General features: G+C 34.8%; 1 protein-coding gene across 11 annotated transcripts in view; it reads right to left on the minus strand.

The window, feature by feature from the left end:
* Positions 1 to 18,137, minus strand: part of ZBTB20 (zinc finger and BTB domain containing 20) — an 832,789-nt gene that overhangs the window by 433,463 nt on the left and 381,189 nt on the right. For 2 of the 11 annotated variants that reach the window (NM_001164345.4, NM_001164344.4), the window contains exon 1: positions 10,934 to 11,145. The exons of the other annotated variants lie outside the window; for them this stretch is intronic. The gene's annotated coding sequence lies outside the window, so the exon portion shown is untranslated. Of the gene's footprint in view, positions 1 to 10,933; positions 11,146 to 18,137 lie in introns of those variants that run through there. 11 annotated transcript variants of the gene reach the window in all.

Here is an 18,137-nt window from a genome sequence, read left to right on the forward strand (position 1 = left end):
GCACAGTTATATAGTGACTTTTGATACATACACAATAAAACTTATTGAATTTTCAAAAAGTGAGAAAAAAACTACTCTGCTTTAAATTTAAAGTAATAAATAATAATGAAGACATATCAACATTGGTAACTGTCAGAGTGAGAAAAGGAAATTGAACATTCAATGTGACCAGAGGAAGGGTGAACATGGGAGATACTGCCCAGGAAAAGTGCTCATGATGAGTAATTCAAAGACCCAGAATCTTAACATAAATTTTTTATAGTTTTCTTTTCAAGGGACTATTTGAAAAAAGATGGTTCTGGGGTTTTTGTTGTAGCTTCTTTCTTTCTTTCTTTCTTTCTTTCTTTCTTTCTTTCTTTCTTTCTTTCTTTCTTCTTTCTTTCTTTCTTTTCTCTCTCTCTCTCTCTCTCTCTCTCTTTCTTTCTTTTGGCTTTGTTGTAGCTTCCTCTTTCTCTCTCTCTCTTTCTCTTTCTTTCTAGCTAAAATTTCACTCTAAATTCCAGGAAATTTTCACGAGATCCTTTTAGAGGTTCTGACACAAATAAAGTAAAAGTAAACCTGTTGTGGCAAAGTTACTAACTAGTCTACACTAACTCTCAGTCCTTGCTCAAAGCAAAATAATGGAGTTTGGGGTGCAATCTGGTGAACTCAATGGTCCAACTGCATAAAGGCAAAGAGGAAAGCCAGGCTTGGGCACTTCTGTAGAAAATGAAGATTACTGGTTTGAAGGCCAGTCTTCTCACTGCTTCACTGTATGTGGTGACTATTGTTAAATTAGATATCCCTATTCTGATGAAAAGGCAATGTGCTATTTTTGGGGTATACATGTTTCAAGCTGTAAACTGCAAAGTGCTGTATAAAAGTAAAGTGGTGTTAATGCCTCATAAGATAAACATATAGATTGATGATGGAGGCATTTAAAATGCTTTAATTGCCCACTTTAATAAAGCACTAAATAATTATAATAAAAACAATTCTTCAGAAAACTTGGTGGGAAAAAGGCCTACAGGATATGTTTGTTAAGAATAATTAGATTTTAGTTTTGGAGGAAAAGGTAGGACAAGTCACAGGAGGCACTCGATGAGAAGTCAGGAATGCCTAGTACATAAGCCACACATATTAAGTTGTAGTTTCTTCAAAACTGACAATAACATGTCCTCCAAAACCAAAGGGAAAATCAAAGGATGTTGCCTATACTTATGTACCTTTTGCTACTGGAGATCTAGTCAATCTATAGCCTTGGATTCATAGTTCTATAACATGACAACATAGCAAAATCTCACCAACACTTTGTTTTAAAGAAATTGGCAGCTGGGTGCGGTGGCTCAAGCCTGTAATCCATGAACTTTGGGAGGCCAAGGTGGGCGGATCACAAGGTCAGGAATTTGAGACCAGCCTGGCCAACATAGTGAAACCCCGTCGCTACTAAAAATACAAAAAAGTAGCTGGGTGTGGCGGTGGATACCTGTAATCCTGGCTACTTGGGAGGCAGAGGCAAGAGAATCACTTGAACCCAGGAGGCGGAGCTTGCAGTGAGCCGAGATCGCACCATTGCACTCCAACCCAGGCAACAGTCCGTGACTCCATCAAAGAAAGAAAGAAAGAAAAGGAAGGAAGGAAGGAAGGAAGGAAGGAAGGAAGGAAGGAAGGAAGGAAGGAATAAATTGGCTATGCCTCCAAGTGAATTATACTATAAACTTCTTTCCCATTACCAATAATGTAAATATATAACCAGGCACAAGCATGTGGAAATGGAGAAAGGATGAACGTTAGTCTTAGAAACTTTGGTTTGTATCCCATTTCCACCTTTTAACAAGTCATTTAGCCTCTCTAGGTCAAGATTTTCTTACCTATTAAATGAAGATAATGGTACCCATCTCACAAAATTGTTTTAAGAATTAAATGTAAAATGCTTGGCACAGAGAGGTCACTCAATACATGGCAGCCAAATCACCACATGCAGTAAAACCCAGATAAAATATATTCAGCCAGGACTGTTGCTCTGTGAGTAGGTCTGGTATCCATGCTACAAAATCTATTAAGCCTAAATAATTTGGTCATTTTAGCAATACTCTTTAGAGATTTTTTAATGACATTTCCCAAAGGTCAAGCTAGCTTATGGTTATGTGGAACTGCTGCATTTATAAGAGAGTTTAGTGGGTTCATAAAATAAGTCTTGCTCCCCAAATCCGGATCATAAAGACCTTCTATCATAAAGGATAAGAGTGACATTTAAAAAACCAGTTTTTAAAAAATGATGGTAGCAAATAAATGCAGATGATCAGGATGACAGCAAGTACCAAGTCAAAGCAACACGGAGAAGAAATAGGCCCTAGCCTGCAGGTTACACTTTAAACACTGAGGAGAAATGGGAGAGTAAAGAGCAACACTGAGCCTCATCGGACTGTAGGTGAAAAAAGATTCAAAATCTGACTCTAAAGCAATAGGTAAAGAAATATTTTAAAATGCTTATCTGTAGGAAGAAAAGCAGTAAAGCAGAATTCCTAGGAATTGAGAAACACTTAGGAAGAAAATGCTTAAGTAGTACGATCCAAGGTGAGGCTAGCTGCAGAAAATACAAATATTTATGGGTTAAATCAGGACTGAGGAAAATATAAAGCCAAATATGGGCAGCTCTGAGGGGGAAAAAATAGGCAGCTTGGTACTCAACTGTCATCACAATTCATTTGTGTTTCACGTCCCACTGTTTGTGACATTAACAGAATTTTGAATTTAGCAATGGACTATTTTTGTATTGTGAATCTCTGCAGCCATTTTCCATATGTAGCTACCACTGTAACTAGCAATAACAGCCTTTTGAGCTTTAAAATGCTTCCAATTAATAAGATTCAAAATAGGGGTCACCTAAGAGTTTTCCAAGTTAATTCCCTTTGTCTACTCTTTGAAGCAGAGTGGTATTCCTGCTATTCATTTGCATTGAGGCCAAATTATTTGACCATTTCAGTAAGATATCCTTAGGTAGCTTTTGCTTTTATTGTCATTTTCCAAAGGATTAAGTTAGTTTTAGATTTTTGAACTGCATTTTCATTTAACTAAAATAACTAAAGCAATCTTTTTATGAGGGTATTTAAATAGATCAAATTTATACCAAGTTCCTACTGTGTGTCAAACATTAGCAAAGCAATTTAAAATGTTATTATTTATATATCAATACATACAAATCATATGTGTTATATATTAATGAGCTTATAGCCATTATACACAGGACTTTTATGTGTTATTATTGTTGTGGTTATTTCTGTTGTTCGCAGGTATCAGTTATCAAGTACCTATTATGTTCCAAGAACTCTACCAAGGACTATACACACTCACCATGTAATGAAGATATTATTGGTTTATTTTCCATTTGAAGATTTAGTCACAAAAAGTAACTTGTCCATGAGCATATAATTTGTGCATTCTCTTAAAATCACTTAAACTTCCACGTAACACCTGGATTGACGTATGCTTTTTCTTACAAAATATACTTCAATTCAATAAAGATTCTTTAGTCACCTACTATGTGGCACCTGCTAGGATAGTTATCTTTGTTTGCTATTATGCTAAATCACAGATCTGACCATTAGAATCTCTTCCTTCCTGAAAATACCCTCTTTAGGTAAAACTGTATTTCTTATCATTTTCCATCACTGATTGAATAAAGAAAGGTGGCACTATCTGGAAAACATAAGAGCGTTGGATTTACAAGTTTCTTTTAATAAAACAAACCAAGTTAATCACAAATTGTTGCAACAAAATATGTGACATGAAGGGCATTTAAGGCACATTTAGACATTATTTCTATCTAGAAACAGAAATTTAGTCCACATAATGTCATTTATCTACTGAGCTAAATCGTATTACAATTTTCATCTATAAAATCCAGATTCTTAATGTGTGTTGGAAAGATAATATCTCTGACCCGCTCTCAGTAAGAAATGTGTTTTGAATTGTTTTGTTAGTAATAATAATGGAGTTGTACTGGACAAAATATATTTTCAGCAAGTTTCTCTGGTAATAAAAATAACTATAATAGTAGTAATAATACTAGTAATCACCAATAAATAATAGATAGCATTTATTGAACTCTACTATGTGCCAGGTACTGTGATTAGCACTTTACATGTATTATCTTATTAATTTCTCAAAATATTACATGAGGTAAGTACCGTAAATCCAATTTAACAGAAAAGCACATTGAGATATAGAAATCCAATAATTTGGTAAAGATCACACAGATAGAAAAGAGGTACAAGTCAGGATTGGAACCCAAGGAATCTGACTCTCGTATCTATCTACTCTAGGTGGGGGATATAGCAGGTGCTATGGTGTTTGTTCAAGAGAATACTCCATTTGTGTTGTTTTATCTACCTTATTAGGGTTGGGGCCCATTTGGTCTGTAAGCCAAATCTGAAGACAGCTGAAATGAGTTAAGGTTTGAATTAGTGCTATTCACACTATCTGCCAATTAAAATGCTCCCTTCTGAGAAGCTGTAGCCAGTTGGCATAACCTTAGGACATAATACATGCTCAAAAAAGTATCTGATGAATGTTAACAATGGTTTCTCTAAGTGGTGATTTTACTTTCTTTAAAAAATACTTTTTCCTATTGTCTGAAATATTTTCAACATGGGCACATTACTTAGGTGATCAAGGGGAAATTCAGGACTTTACTTAAAAAATGTTTTTGTTTTGTTTTACAATTAGGTTGTTAGTCTCAGTTAAAACATAACTCCTGCTGGGAAGCCTTTCCTGTTGCTGTACTCTCTGACCTTTTGAAGGACAGTACTCCTTACTCTGTCTGCCTCAGAACCTTATGAAGGCCACATACTATTGTTAATTATCAGTCTTCTCTGCTTTATGTGAAGTCCCTTGAAGATTGACCCCATTACTTATCTACCTCTTAGAGCTCTAAGCATCTTGAGTGCCTACCACTCAGTTCAATGAAAAAACCCAGAACACACATACACCAGAACAAGCACAAAAGATGAAAAAGAATTATTTTAGGGTTGACAATGCACACTCTTGGTATTTGCAGATGACTTGTTTCTCCCCTTACATTATGTGCAGGTCCCCATGGAAAGAAGTTTCCCACAAGAAGTGTCTTGAATTTACTGGTCTCTTCTCTGGAGGATTTTACAAATGCATCAAGGAATACACACACACACACATACATACACATTATGAAATAATATGAGGATAATTAGAAGTAATGGGGAACACAGGAGGCAATTTCTAAAAAATGAAGCATATTTTTTATATATATAATGTATATATGTATACCTGTATATAATGTATATATGTATACCTGTATATATAATGTATATATGTATACCTGTATATATAATGTATATATGTATACCTGTATATATAATGTATATATGTATACATTATATATAATGTATATATAATGTATATACACATACATGTATGTATATATATACACACACGTATATATATATATATATATACACACACACTTTTTTTTTTGAGACAGAGTTTCGCTTTGTTCCCCAGGCTGGAGTGCAATGGAGCGATCTCAGCTCACTGCAACCTCCGCCTCCCGAGTTCAAGCGATTCTCCTGCTTCAGCCACCCAAGTAGCTTTGATTACAGGCATGTGCTACCACGCCCAGCTAATTTTGCATTTTTAATAGAGACGGGGTTTTGCCATGATGGCCAGGCTGGTCTCAAACTCCTGACCTCAGGTGATCTGCCCGCCTTGGCCTTCCAAAGTGCTGAGATTACAGGCGTGAGCTACCACACCCAGCCACATTTATATTTTATATTAAGTAATTTTGTTCCTTTCCTACCCCATTATAATATAAACTTCATGAAAGTAGAAACTTTATTTTATTCACTACAGTATCCCTAGTCCATAAAAGAAGGCATGGCATTACATCCTCAATAAATATATGTCGAAAAGAAGGAAAAAGGTATAGATGTTTCCACTGTATTTCTTATATTTTTCTGGAAACAAAGGGGAAAGGTGTTCCCAAAAGGTTTCCAGGAAAACTTCAATCACCAATGAAACTGCAAGCTCTTGTCATGTTCCTCAGACCACTACCTAATTAATTCCTTTATGTGCAATACATCCTTTCTAGCCTGTTGATACTCAATTTCTGGCGCTGCTGTAACTTGTGGAGCAAAGAGTGCCACGTGAGAGGTGCTTGGGCCCCTTCATACTGTGCCTCACCTGCGAACTGGGGAGGCCACTGCCATTTAGGCTCCAGCATCTTTTACAGGCCAGCTGAGCCACCAGAAGGGAAGGGGAGAAAGAGACATGCAAGTTCTCAGAATGTCTGGTATATTCACTCACACACATTTCTCTTCTCTTCTCAAAAAGGATCCTGGCAACAAATCACTGATTAATGATGAGAGAAATGGAATCAGGAGGACCCCATGATACCCTCTCATCCTAGTTTTGGGAGATAAAATCTCCCACTGTGGGGAGGAGGAAGACCCTACAGGGTTTTCTTATGTTTTGCAGCTTCCAAATTGTAGTAGGGTCCTATTCTATAAAATTGCTACCAACAACTGTATACTTAGTGATATAATACCATATGGAACCTTGAGTTTTACTTAAAGAGTAGATTATGTGGCAATTCATAGTTATCCTAGTATGGATAAGAAAATATCCTAGTAATAACATAATTATTCTAGTTATGAGTTTTTTTCAGACAAGAAACTCTTTTATTCATCTTTTTATCTCTAGTGCCCAGACTCAACATATGACTTTGTATATAGTAGTTCTTAATAAATGATAGCTTAAAAATTAAATAATATTTTTAAAATGGTGAGATATGGCTTAAAGGGGTTCAAACAAATTCAGAGTTTTGTCTAATCTAGGTGTTTCTAGATTTATGAGCAGGCAATCACATATTATTGAGTATGTATTAGTGTTTTAGTTAGTGTTAATACAGTATAATAAACCCTCATTGATTGTTGTAGAGAAATCCTACTATTTTACACTCATATACTAGAAATGTTTAAAGTCACAATTTTAAAATAGTGGACTTCAAACTTTATTATGCACAACTAACCTGGGCAGTTTCCTAAACTGCAGATCCAGGCTACATTCTCAGAGCTTCTGATTTAGAAATTCTGGAATGGGGTTCAGGAATCTCCATTTTAACAGGTGCTCTAGATAATCCTGATATAGGTAATCCCTAGGTAATCCTGATACAGTTGGTCCTTGGACTACTTACCATGGACTAGGCTACAAGGTAATATAATAATAAATCTATACAGTTCACCTTTTCAATACGAAGAGAAGAGACTAGCCTATTAAATGTGACTTAACTATCAAAATTACCCGTGAAAAGAATAGGCAATTTGCTAAGACTTCTCAAAATGAACCAAGGGAGGACATAAGGGCGAGAAATATTAAATTTCAAGCCAGAAATGACTCTTTTTAAAACTTCAAAGAGACTGACAATCTGCTTAAAGTAAAAGTGGAAGAAGAATGGCAGCAGTACAGAAGTGTTTTATGAACAATTTAGGAAAGCAACATTGATTCAAGAGGTTTATTTGATAACATGTTTTAATGGTTATTATAAAAGTGAATGCCTTCTAATCTTTGATTTGCTGCTAAAATATATATGTATTTATTTACATGAAATTTTTTTTTTAAATTCCCCCCTTAACTCCCTACTTTCCACACATTTTTAGCTTGCCAACATTACTGCGTTAATGGTGTCCTTTTTTTCTCTCTCTAGAAACACATGCCCTGGGATTAAAAGGGGATTACTTTGGTCTACTTCCACATCCATGTCCCAGGGAAGGTACTGCTTCTGCTTCCGACCTGACCTTTAGGTATCTGCAGCCTTCAATTCTTTACAGTGGGAGTTGCTTTAGCATTGATTTCTTGGAAAACTAAGAGCTGTTTTCAAAAGCCATTTTCAAGACAAATAATGAAAATTATTTTCTTATGCTTATGGATGTTACAAACTGTGTAACAAGCTTTTCTCTTTAACTTTGCTGCAAGAAAGTTTAAAGGCAACTGTATAGCACTTCACTGAATATAGTTTTATGCTGACCTCACTTCTAACTCCATTTTTATATCCTTTCCTTTATTGTTTTATTTTTCTTACCTATTTCTAATTCATGTATTTTGCTGCAATCATGTATTTATGTTTATTTTTTCATTGTCAGCCATTTTAATTCCCTTATTGGTGCAATAAATAGTAAATAAGACAAATAAACAAAACAAAAACATATGTATGTATGTGTATTTGGTATTTACATCGCATGTACTCAAAATAAAAAATAAAAACTAACCACCTAAAATAATTGACATATTTCATTATTCTTTGGGCTATAGATTCACTTGACTGCAGCACTTCCATTTAGGGAGATATAAAATTAAAATACCACCATGAAAAAATCCATATGAAATTTGACATAGGTATTTTCAGCCCCAGGTCATTAATTCAGTTCTGACTGACATCTTTCAGTTCTGTTTTAAAATTTTTGTGTTCAGTCTTTCGATTACACACACAAAAAAGTTTTGGCTTAATCAGCCTAATAAAGTGTATATTTCTGAAAACATTTTTATGTAAACAAATATAGAAGTATACATGATACATACACATACATTTTTTACTTAGAGTCTTCAAACCAAATATTTCAGTCCTTTGCTTCCAGTATTATTTTCTTTTAAGTAAATACTTTTCATTAAGCAACAAAGAGTGATAGTCATCTCAACACCAAAAACTTGTATTCAGGCTAAGTTTAGTCTACTTTGCATATTTTCCTCTGAGAATGATCCAGCCAGTCTCAGTCTGATTCTAGTAAAACTCAGGTAATGTGGAAGAACTCTAATTGAGTATTAGACATTTTAACAATTATATTCATATTGATATGTCCTTATACGACCACTCTAGGTGAAATATTACTATGCTTGGGACTTAAATATGATTTTTGTTCTTTTATTAATTTCTGAATCTCATATCCTTCCAGATACCAAAGGAATACAGTACCACCTGGGAATAATGTCAATTTTCACTTTAAAAAAATATTTTGTTGCTTTTCCCCTCAGCATGGGCAACCAATAGCTGATTCATACTTTCATTACATCACAGTTGGATTACAGAAGGGCTCTTTAGTCTGGCCTCCGCATGTCTCTTGCAACTCATTTGTAGACAGCCCAGAAACTAGCAGCTGGACTTCATTTTTGTTCCAGCAGTCACCATTTTATAGTGTTTCTCTAAGTCACTGTGAGTTTCACTGATGACAAGTCTAAAACTCCACAGGTATTCATATTTAGTGGGTTAAATCAGAGAGAAAGGATTATGCTTAACTTTCTATAGGTTCATGTCACTCAACTATACTTTGCCATTCACTTACCATACGTCAAAAAGGTGGAATAATACTATTCTTACATAGAGGACTAATAAGATATACTTAGCAAAAGTAGGTGGTTGCAAAACATTTTTTTAAAAATCAGAGTGCTGTATTTTTAAAATCTTGCATAGAACTCTGGTTCAATTTTTGAGTCCTTCCAATTTCTCATAACTCTGTGGTATTCATAATAAAGCAGGCAGATGGTTAAGTCTCTGAACATATGCTTTAAATGCCCCCTTTGCTATTTCTAAATAATGGACCAAATTTTGCCCTCAAATAGTCACAGGAAACTTTAAGGAGGCTGCCTCTTGAAATCTGAGGACAGAATGTGATCCAGTGGGAATTAAACCTTTAAAAAATATATTTTCTAAACTTTCTTATGAGCTCTATTCCCTATACCAAGACAAATTACATTTTTTAATAAAATAGGATATAGTAAGAGAAAAATCCTAACCAATACAATATTACTTGGCTCAAGGAATAGATTAGAAGGCAACATATGTTTTATTTATTTATATTTTAAAATTCTGATTTTCTAAAACATGAGAGTCATCTGATTAATTTCTGTGTGATTACCAGATTTTCCATTTTTATTATTATTCCTATTACTAGTATCATGTAGATGTTATATTGTTAAAACATCTTGCAATTATTAATTAGTTAATTTAGTTTAAATTATGATTATGCCTTTGTTTTAAATCAATGTTTTTCATAGTTATTAAAAGCCAAAAGCACTATTTTTCCAGTCACTTACTTTCATTTCAAAAACAGTTTGTTGTCGATGAAAGCGCATTTTCCAGGTTATCACAGAATATGCAATTCATCTGCAATGGATATATATATTCTGGTAATGTTGCTCACATAACCTAGCTGTACTTGTAAGAGTATCTCTGTTTCTTAATGTCTATATTTTATACATGGAATTAACCTTCATTTGCACACTCATATTTCTATGTATTTAAATTTATTCCTGAAAGACCTCTGAACTAGTCTCTCCTGTCTTACGATGTCCACAAAACTTAGCAGTCTGATTAACATTACAGATAAAAAGACCACACAATTGACAATAAGGACACTTTAGTTATTATAGACGTCTGAAGTTTAAGTATTCCAAAACTATAATGTCCCTTTAGAAATTCTCAATAAGGATTAGCTTGGTCCTAATGAAAACAGTGTTTACTTTTAAAAATAAATGCAATAGTTGTACCCAAATATGTTCGAAACACTGTATGACGTGTCATAATCAACAATGTTGAAAATAACTAAAGATCTTTAAATCAAGTGATAATTTTACACATATATCCACAAATATCTGAACAAAATTTATAATTACTATTGGGACAAAACATTAACATATTCTTCTGCTAATAAAGACAAACAACTTTGAGAAAATCCTCTCTCATTCTCACGTCTCTAACTTTCACAATAAATGCAGCACTGAAACTAAATTTCCAACTCAGAAATACGCTGAGCTCCAATAAACAAGTTGATTTTAAAAACTCACCAGACTAACAGTTATGCTTTTTCCCTTATCTTTCCTTTGCTTTCCCTTGTTCTTTCACTTTCCATGCACACACAATCACACTTACCTGCACAAGTCTGAAACATCAGTCTATGTATTTTTTTTGAAATGTACTCTGTACCGATGCATTTTTCTGTGTTTCTTTCTAACCCTCGAGAATGTTAAGAATTTAGGAAGAGAGCCACAGCTTAAGAGTGCAATTATTTGCCAGTAAATACTCAATTTGCTTGTCCTGTGATTTTTCTTCTAACTTGCATATTCAATAATCCGTCCCTGACTGCGTCACGAGCACAAAAAGTCTTTTCTCCAAAGGAGAAGACTTTCGCCAATCAACCTTCAGCCATGCCAGGGCACAGCTTGTCAGGGTGATTTGTTAGCTTTAATTAATAATTCCTCACACTGGCCATTTTCACAAATAATGCAGTGAGGCTGGGAGGCTAGATTGCTATGATTCAGACAGATAAAACTACAGTGGAAAGGGGATGGGGAGGGGTGTGGGGGAATTCAGATGCCGTTTATAAACACCTCTAATCATACTCTTTCAGTTTACAATATAGAGGACATCTCAGTTGAATTACCACGTTATGTCCACCAATTTGTATTCAGATGGAAACCATATGTTCCTCCACTTTATCTGCTAGGGACTCCCTGGTGCCAACACAGTCATTGGGCAGACAACATTCACAAAAGAGGTCTCTAGCCTCTGGATTGCAAAAGTTTACTGCAGGGTGAAGTTGAGAAATCAGACATATACTGCACTTCTCAGTGAGCTTGGGTAACAGTCTGGAAACACAGAAGTATGAGTTATGAGTGTCAGATTTTCTCTTATCCTGCTATGTGATACTGGGCATTTCATTTAGCCTTAAAAAAAAAATCTCATACCTCATCCTCAAATCAGTTTGCAACAATGACTGATTTGTTCATGCATTCTATGAACATTTATTGACTCCCAAATATATGCTACACACTGTATTAAATGCTGAGAATTTTGCTTGAAAGTAAGACTTTTCCATTTAACTGACAATCCATGGGCTTGAACAAAGCCACCAAACAGATAGTGTGCAAATAAAAATAAGGATTTCTAACAGTTTCTGTGTGGCTCAACCAAATAATCAGTAATTGACAACACACTTGAGTCCATTATGCAAAAGTAATGCTCGGGGTAAAAAAGAATATACAGAGATTAAAAAATATGTTTTTCAAAGATTAAAAAATTTCCCTCAAAGTGACTAGAGCACTAAGAAACATATTAATATGTTCATAAACAATTTCCAAAGATTCACAATCACTTTAGGAACATACAAATAAAAAAATTTTATTAATGTCCTTAATCTTATATAAGAATATATGCCTGTGTTTGAGACTGCAAATTTATTAATTTATTGGATACATATTTATTGAGCATCTACTCTATTTCAGGAACTGAATAATATTGGAGATAAGTAAAGCACAGCCTCGTTATTCAAGAAGCTCACAATTTAGTCACCAGACTCTAAAAGAGAAAACACACATCTCAACTGAAAACTGTAATACAATATAGCCAGAGCAATGACACAAATATACATAAACATGTAGGATGGGCCTCCTAGAAGTGATGCATCAACTATTTGTAAAGGTTGGGTAGAAGTACCAGTGGTGAGAAGAACATTCTAGGGAGAGGCAAACCTTTGAACCCTTTCTCAAACTGTTACTAGAAGCAGAGCACCAGTTCTAGAAAAGATGGGATTTAATACATGACAATTTCAGATAAATGTTTCAGATGGTAAATATTGCAGGATTTAAAAATAAACTTATTAAGAAACAAATGTTCCCCAAAACTATAATGTCTTGATATCATCAAAAAAGCATGCAGCATCTCTAGCACTGGCACATAGTAACATACATGTCTTTCTCACTTTGTGTGTTTCAGTTCTCTGAGGCAAACATGAAACATGCTTGACACACACTGCCTTTCTGTGTTTTCTTGCCTATTTATCTTCTTTTACTATGGGCAGGCTTCTACTGCTTCTGTTTTCACTGTACCATAAGATAAATCATATTTGCATGACTGTTAAAGGAAGGGGAAAAATCTGTGTCCATTTTGTGGTCACACATCTACTTCTAGTCAGATAGCACATGCTATATGGGACTAAGAGTGCAAATGTTAAATGAGAAAGGAAATAATACTCCTAAACCCCCAAAAAGCTCTTTCATAGATAGTAAATACTCCTAGAAACTATACAGAATTCTTGGTGTTATTTAACATTTTGCTTTATATTATATTTAACAGTGTAAGGCAACAGCCAGAATACTATTTACCATAGTTCAGTAACATCTAGCCATTTAAAGAATTTACAAAGTTTATTAATTCATTAAATATGTATGTATTGAGCTCCTACTATATACTGAGCACTTATCAGTAAATGTTTGATTTTTATTCCCACAATGCTTACACATAATAATAGTTAACATTCATTGAGTGCTGACTATATGCTAGGGACTAATCTAAGGACTTTACATATAGTATCTCATTTAATTCCCACAGTAACATTATATGTTAGGTACTATTACCACCTCCATTTAGTATATTATGAAACTCACAAGTAGAGAAGCTAGATATACACTATGTGAATTCATTCTACACAATGAGACCAGGGCAACTAATGTCCACCAAAAATCAGATTTATTACTTTATAGTTACACAGTCACAAGTAATGTTTATGTTGTGAAAATTAAAGAAAATAAGTCCGGGCACGGTGGCTCAAGACTGTATTCCCAGCACTTTGGGAGGCTGAGCTGGGTGGATCACCTGAAGTCAGGAGTTCGAGACCAGCCTGGCCAACATGGTGAAATCCTGTCTCTAATAAAAATACAAAAACTAGATGGGGTGGTGGCAGAAAGCTGTAATCCCATCTACTTGGGGGGCTGAGGTAGGAGAATCGCCTGAACCTGGGAGATGGAGGTTCCAGTGAGCCGAGATCATGCCACTGCACTCTGGCCTGGGTGACAGAGCCAGACTCCATCTCAAAAAAAAAGAAAAAAAAAAAAGAAAGAAAATGATATGCTTAATGTGCATAGCACAAAATCTAGCCCAGAATAGGTGTAAAATATATGGCATTTGAAGTATTCAGAGTTAAAGATTACCACATACAACTAAGACTTACTGTTTCTGGACCAAATGACCATATATTATTGAAGCCTATCTTAGACAATAAATGTAAATAAATCTTAGCTAAAGCAAATTAGCCTTGGTAGTCTGGGAGGGTTTTCCTTTGAAGATGTTAATAATATAGTTGAACTGGTTGTGTTTAAGAAAGCAGAGCTGACAGACAAAATAGAGATAGATGACACAGGAACTCACCAGTTAATAATAGAAAAAATTCTTGTTTTTCCAAGTGATTAATACAATATTACATTGTATTTAATGTAGATGAAAAAGCTTATTTGGTACTCACTGGGGAAGCCACCACTCAGTATAATCATATGCTCTTTTCAAATAATCCCATGCTGCTAACTTTACAGCTAACTGCCAGCATTTGCCAACTCCGGGCACTCTGATGCCCTCTCCACATTCTTTCTTCTCTCTTGACATTGACTAAGTCCAGCCACCCATAATTCTTGACCTAAACTATGGCACAAATATCCATGAAACAGAACATTTATTTTTGGTGATAAAGCTGGTTCTAGATGAAATGGTGGTATTTCTTTATGGAGGAGCTGCAAGGAGGCTCTCTTCATTTGCTTGTGTGTGTAAGTAAAGTTTCTGATTTGGGATAAAGGACTGCCTGGACCCTCAATTATTGGTGTTTATTCTATGGATATTGGCTGAGATATTTTGTATGGGAAAACCAGCAGATGAGTTAATGAGCATCCGTCTGAGCCATACTAACCTAGTGGCACCTCCTGGGAAGCCAGGGCGTTCTAGAATCTGTTTATTTCTCAAATGAAAATCCTAATTCATAGAAGTTAAAAGTATAGAAGACAACTTCACGTACTCTTTCTTCATGATACCTGGATTGGTTACAACTTAGTAAAATTTTAGCCTGTTTGGTCCCTCCTTCCTTACTGGCTGTCTGAGTCTCTAGCCTTATATAGGAAAACCTTGTCTTCTAATTGAAAATGATGACAAACAGAAGTTATGACAGACACATTTCAAAGTAGATGCTATTTTTCCCAAATAAATTTCACATACATTCTAATTCCTAAACTTATATATTTTCACATACTTTATATAAATACCTGACACCTTAAAATGTTTTACTTAGTGAGACCTAGATAATGAAGGAATAAAAAGGTGACTTAATCCCAGTTTTTCTAAACAAGAAGTTTAGAACTCACGTATTTTAAACTTGTTAAGTGATGATCAATATAATGGGCTGTATATTTGGTTGAGAGTTAAAAATCTAAAGTTTTCTCAGAGTACTTTAAGGCATTGCTTTCTCAGTGGAAATCTTCGACCTTCACATTCTCAAAAGGAGAAAAATGTTTCTTGTCAGAAAACTAGTCATGGCTAGTCCATAAGAAGAAGTCCAAGATTGTATCAGCTTCCCTGTGACCTTGCTATGAGATTTGCTACAAGTAATTTAATGCTTTTCTATGTCTCAGTTTACTTTTTATCTATGATACCTCAATGATATTATTAAGATAATGTGGATCAAGTGTTTTGATCATTGCATAGAACATATGCATAGAACATAGAATATAGAAATCCCCAAATATAAGAATGAAAACTTAAATTGTTAGAATGACACTAACTCTGCTACAACCTTAAATAGCATATATAGTACCTCAGTGTCTCCATTTTTTTCAGCTATAAAATGAGAATAGTCATCTTTATGTTTTTCATTAAACAGTATATTGGAATAAATAGAGATTATTACAAAATCTGTTGAAAGATTTCAACAAAATGTCATACATGCAAGTGAGGTGATGAATATATTAATTGGCTTGATTAAATATTTCTAAAATGCATACACAGATCAAAATATCACATTGTACCCCATAAAAATACATAATTATTTTTCAATTAAAAATAAATAAATAAAATTAAAATGTAATCAAACCTCTGAAGCTGATTTTCAAATATATTAGAGGAATTGATTTTAAAATATCAAAGCGTAAGAAGTAAATGTTTTCAAGCATATTCAGACACTTATGAAGGAAGACTATTAAAAGACAGGGAGCAGGACTGCCTTTTCTTTGTGTGGCTGGCTGCATTTTATGATGGATTCAAAACCCCAGTAATGAGAAAATATAATCAGAAAAAGTGATTTTTAGCAGGCTGTTGAATGACACATAAAATAAAATGTATTCATTAATGAGTCAGCAAAAATGTTATGCATGAGCTTTCAGAGCCAGAATTTTTAAGCAGCTTTTTCATACTTGGTACAGCCATGTTCCTGAAGTATCCTCTCACAACCCCCTTCTACCTCTCTCTCTCTCTCTTTTTTTTTTTTTTTGTCCTGTACTGCCAGGTTGGAATAATGACCAAAGGGAGGGGCAAAACAAACAGATATGCTCACTGTGGCAGAAGTCACTCCAAAGATCAAAGACTCGATTCAGCCGTGGCTGCCAAAATCAGAACCACAGTGGGTGCTCATCAGCACGGTGCCCTCAGAACCACATGGGCTACCCTTGATAGGTTAGCAGCTTGGGGTGCAGGCCCCGCATCCTGCTTAGAACCACCTGCTGAGAACTGGATGTGCACATTACCTTACCCACTCACAACATTTGATTTCAACTCAATTCTGCTCTAGTATTATGTTTATTGAATGACGGAAGTCTAACAGACACTGTAAAAATCCAATTTCACATCTTATAGTACCCAAAAGGGAACTGTGATTTTCCTATATCAGTGAGCAAAATCTTGAGCAATTAGTAAACAAGATCACCAATTTCTAGTATTTCTATGAGATATATTTCTTTAGTTTTCTGTAAGGAGAAAATAATATATTGGTACCTTAGTATCCAGCAATCTTATATTCATTTATAGGGTTATCTCAAGTTAACATAGTCAAAAACCCAGAAGAGGGAAAATAGAGCCCTTGGGAAATGAAAAGAAATGCCATAAGGTACACGCTGTTGCCCAAATACATCATTACTTACCAAGGAGACTTTAATTTGGAACCAATTTATTCTTCTTTAATACACAGTAACACCAGTAATCTGGACCCTCCATTCATATTACATGGGAAGAAAACACTTTCGGAAGAAAGTACAATGATATCTGTAAGAAATGATGGCTCTATCTCAGAATGAAGAGGAGACAGAGGAGGTGAGGGAGAAATAAAAGTATGCAAAGCTAAGAACTATGTACAGCTTGCAAACATCTCTATTATTGAGTCCTGCAGAAATCATTGTGGTAAAGCTCTGCACAAAAAATAGTGTTCATAATTATTATGGGTTTAATTGTGCCCTCCCAAAATTCATATGTTAAATTTCTAACCCCAAGTATCTCAGAAAATGACCATATTTGGAAATAGGGTCCCTAATTAAGATGCAGTCGTAATGGAGTAAGGTGGTTCTCTACTCAAGTATGACTTATGCCTGTAGAGAAAGGGGAAATTTGGACATGGGCACACATACACTGGGAGAATGCTATATTAAAGATGAAGGCAGAAATCAGGGAGATGCCTTACAGGTCAAGGAATTCCAACGATTGCCATAAACTCCAGAAACTAAGCAAGAGGCATGAAACAGATTCCCTCCCACAACCCTCATAAGGAACCATCCCTTCTAATAGCTTGATCTCAGACTTCTTGCTTCCAGAACTGTGATCCAATAAATCTCTGTTGTTTAAACAACCCAATTTATGATATTCTATTATGGCAGCCCTAGGAAACTAATACAATAATGATTATCAGGAAATCATCATGTAAAGACTAAATCAAGTTCAGAATATATTGTTTAAGAAGGTTGAAAAATATAAGATTCATTGCAGAAAACGAATCAATATGCTTTTGCAGAAATAAAGCATTCAGTGTTTGAGTGGCACAAATATCGAAACAATAAATGATTTCTTTACATGGAACATATGGTTTTCAATTTTTCCTAATCCAATGAGATGTTGCCATCTTTACTAAAAAGACAAACTGAAATATACTCTACAGAACACGTCAAAGAAAGAGTCCCCAACCTCCAAGAAGCATTTTGACTAAGAAGGAAGATAAATATCAACTTATTTTTATTTGTTTGTTTAAAATACACAGCCTAATATGGATGAAACGGTTACAAAGAGAAGTTCTGGGTAAAGAAGAGGTTGTCTACTTAGAAGAAAACTACTAATAAATGGG

This window comes from Homo sapiens, chromosome 3 (genome assembly GCF_000001405.40).
Source record: "Homo sapiens chromosome 3, GRCh38.p14 Primary Assembly".
In the NCBI taxonomy this organism is placed as follows: domain Eukaryota; kingdom Metazoa; phylum Chordata; class Mammalia; order Primates; family Hominidae; genus Homo; species Homo sapiens.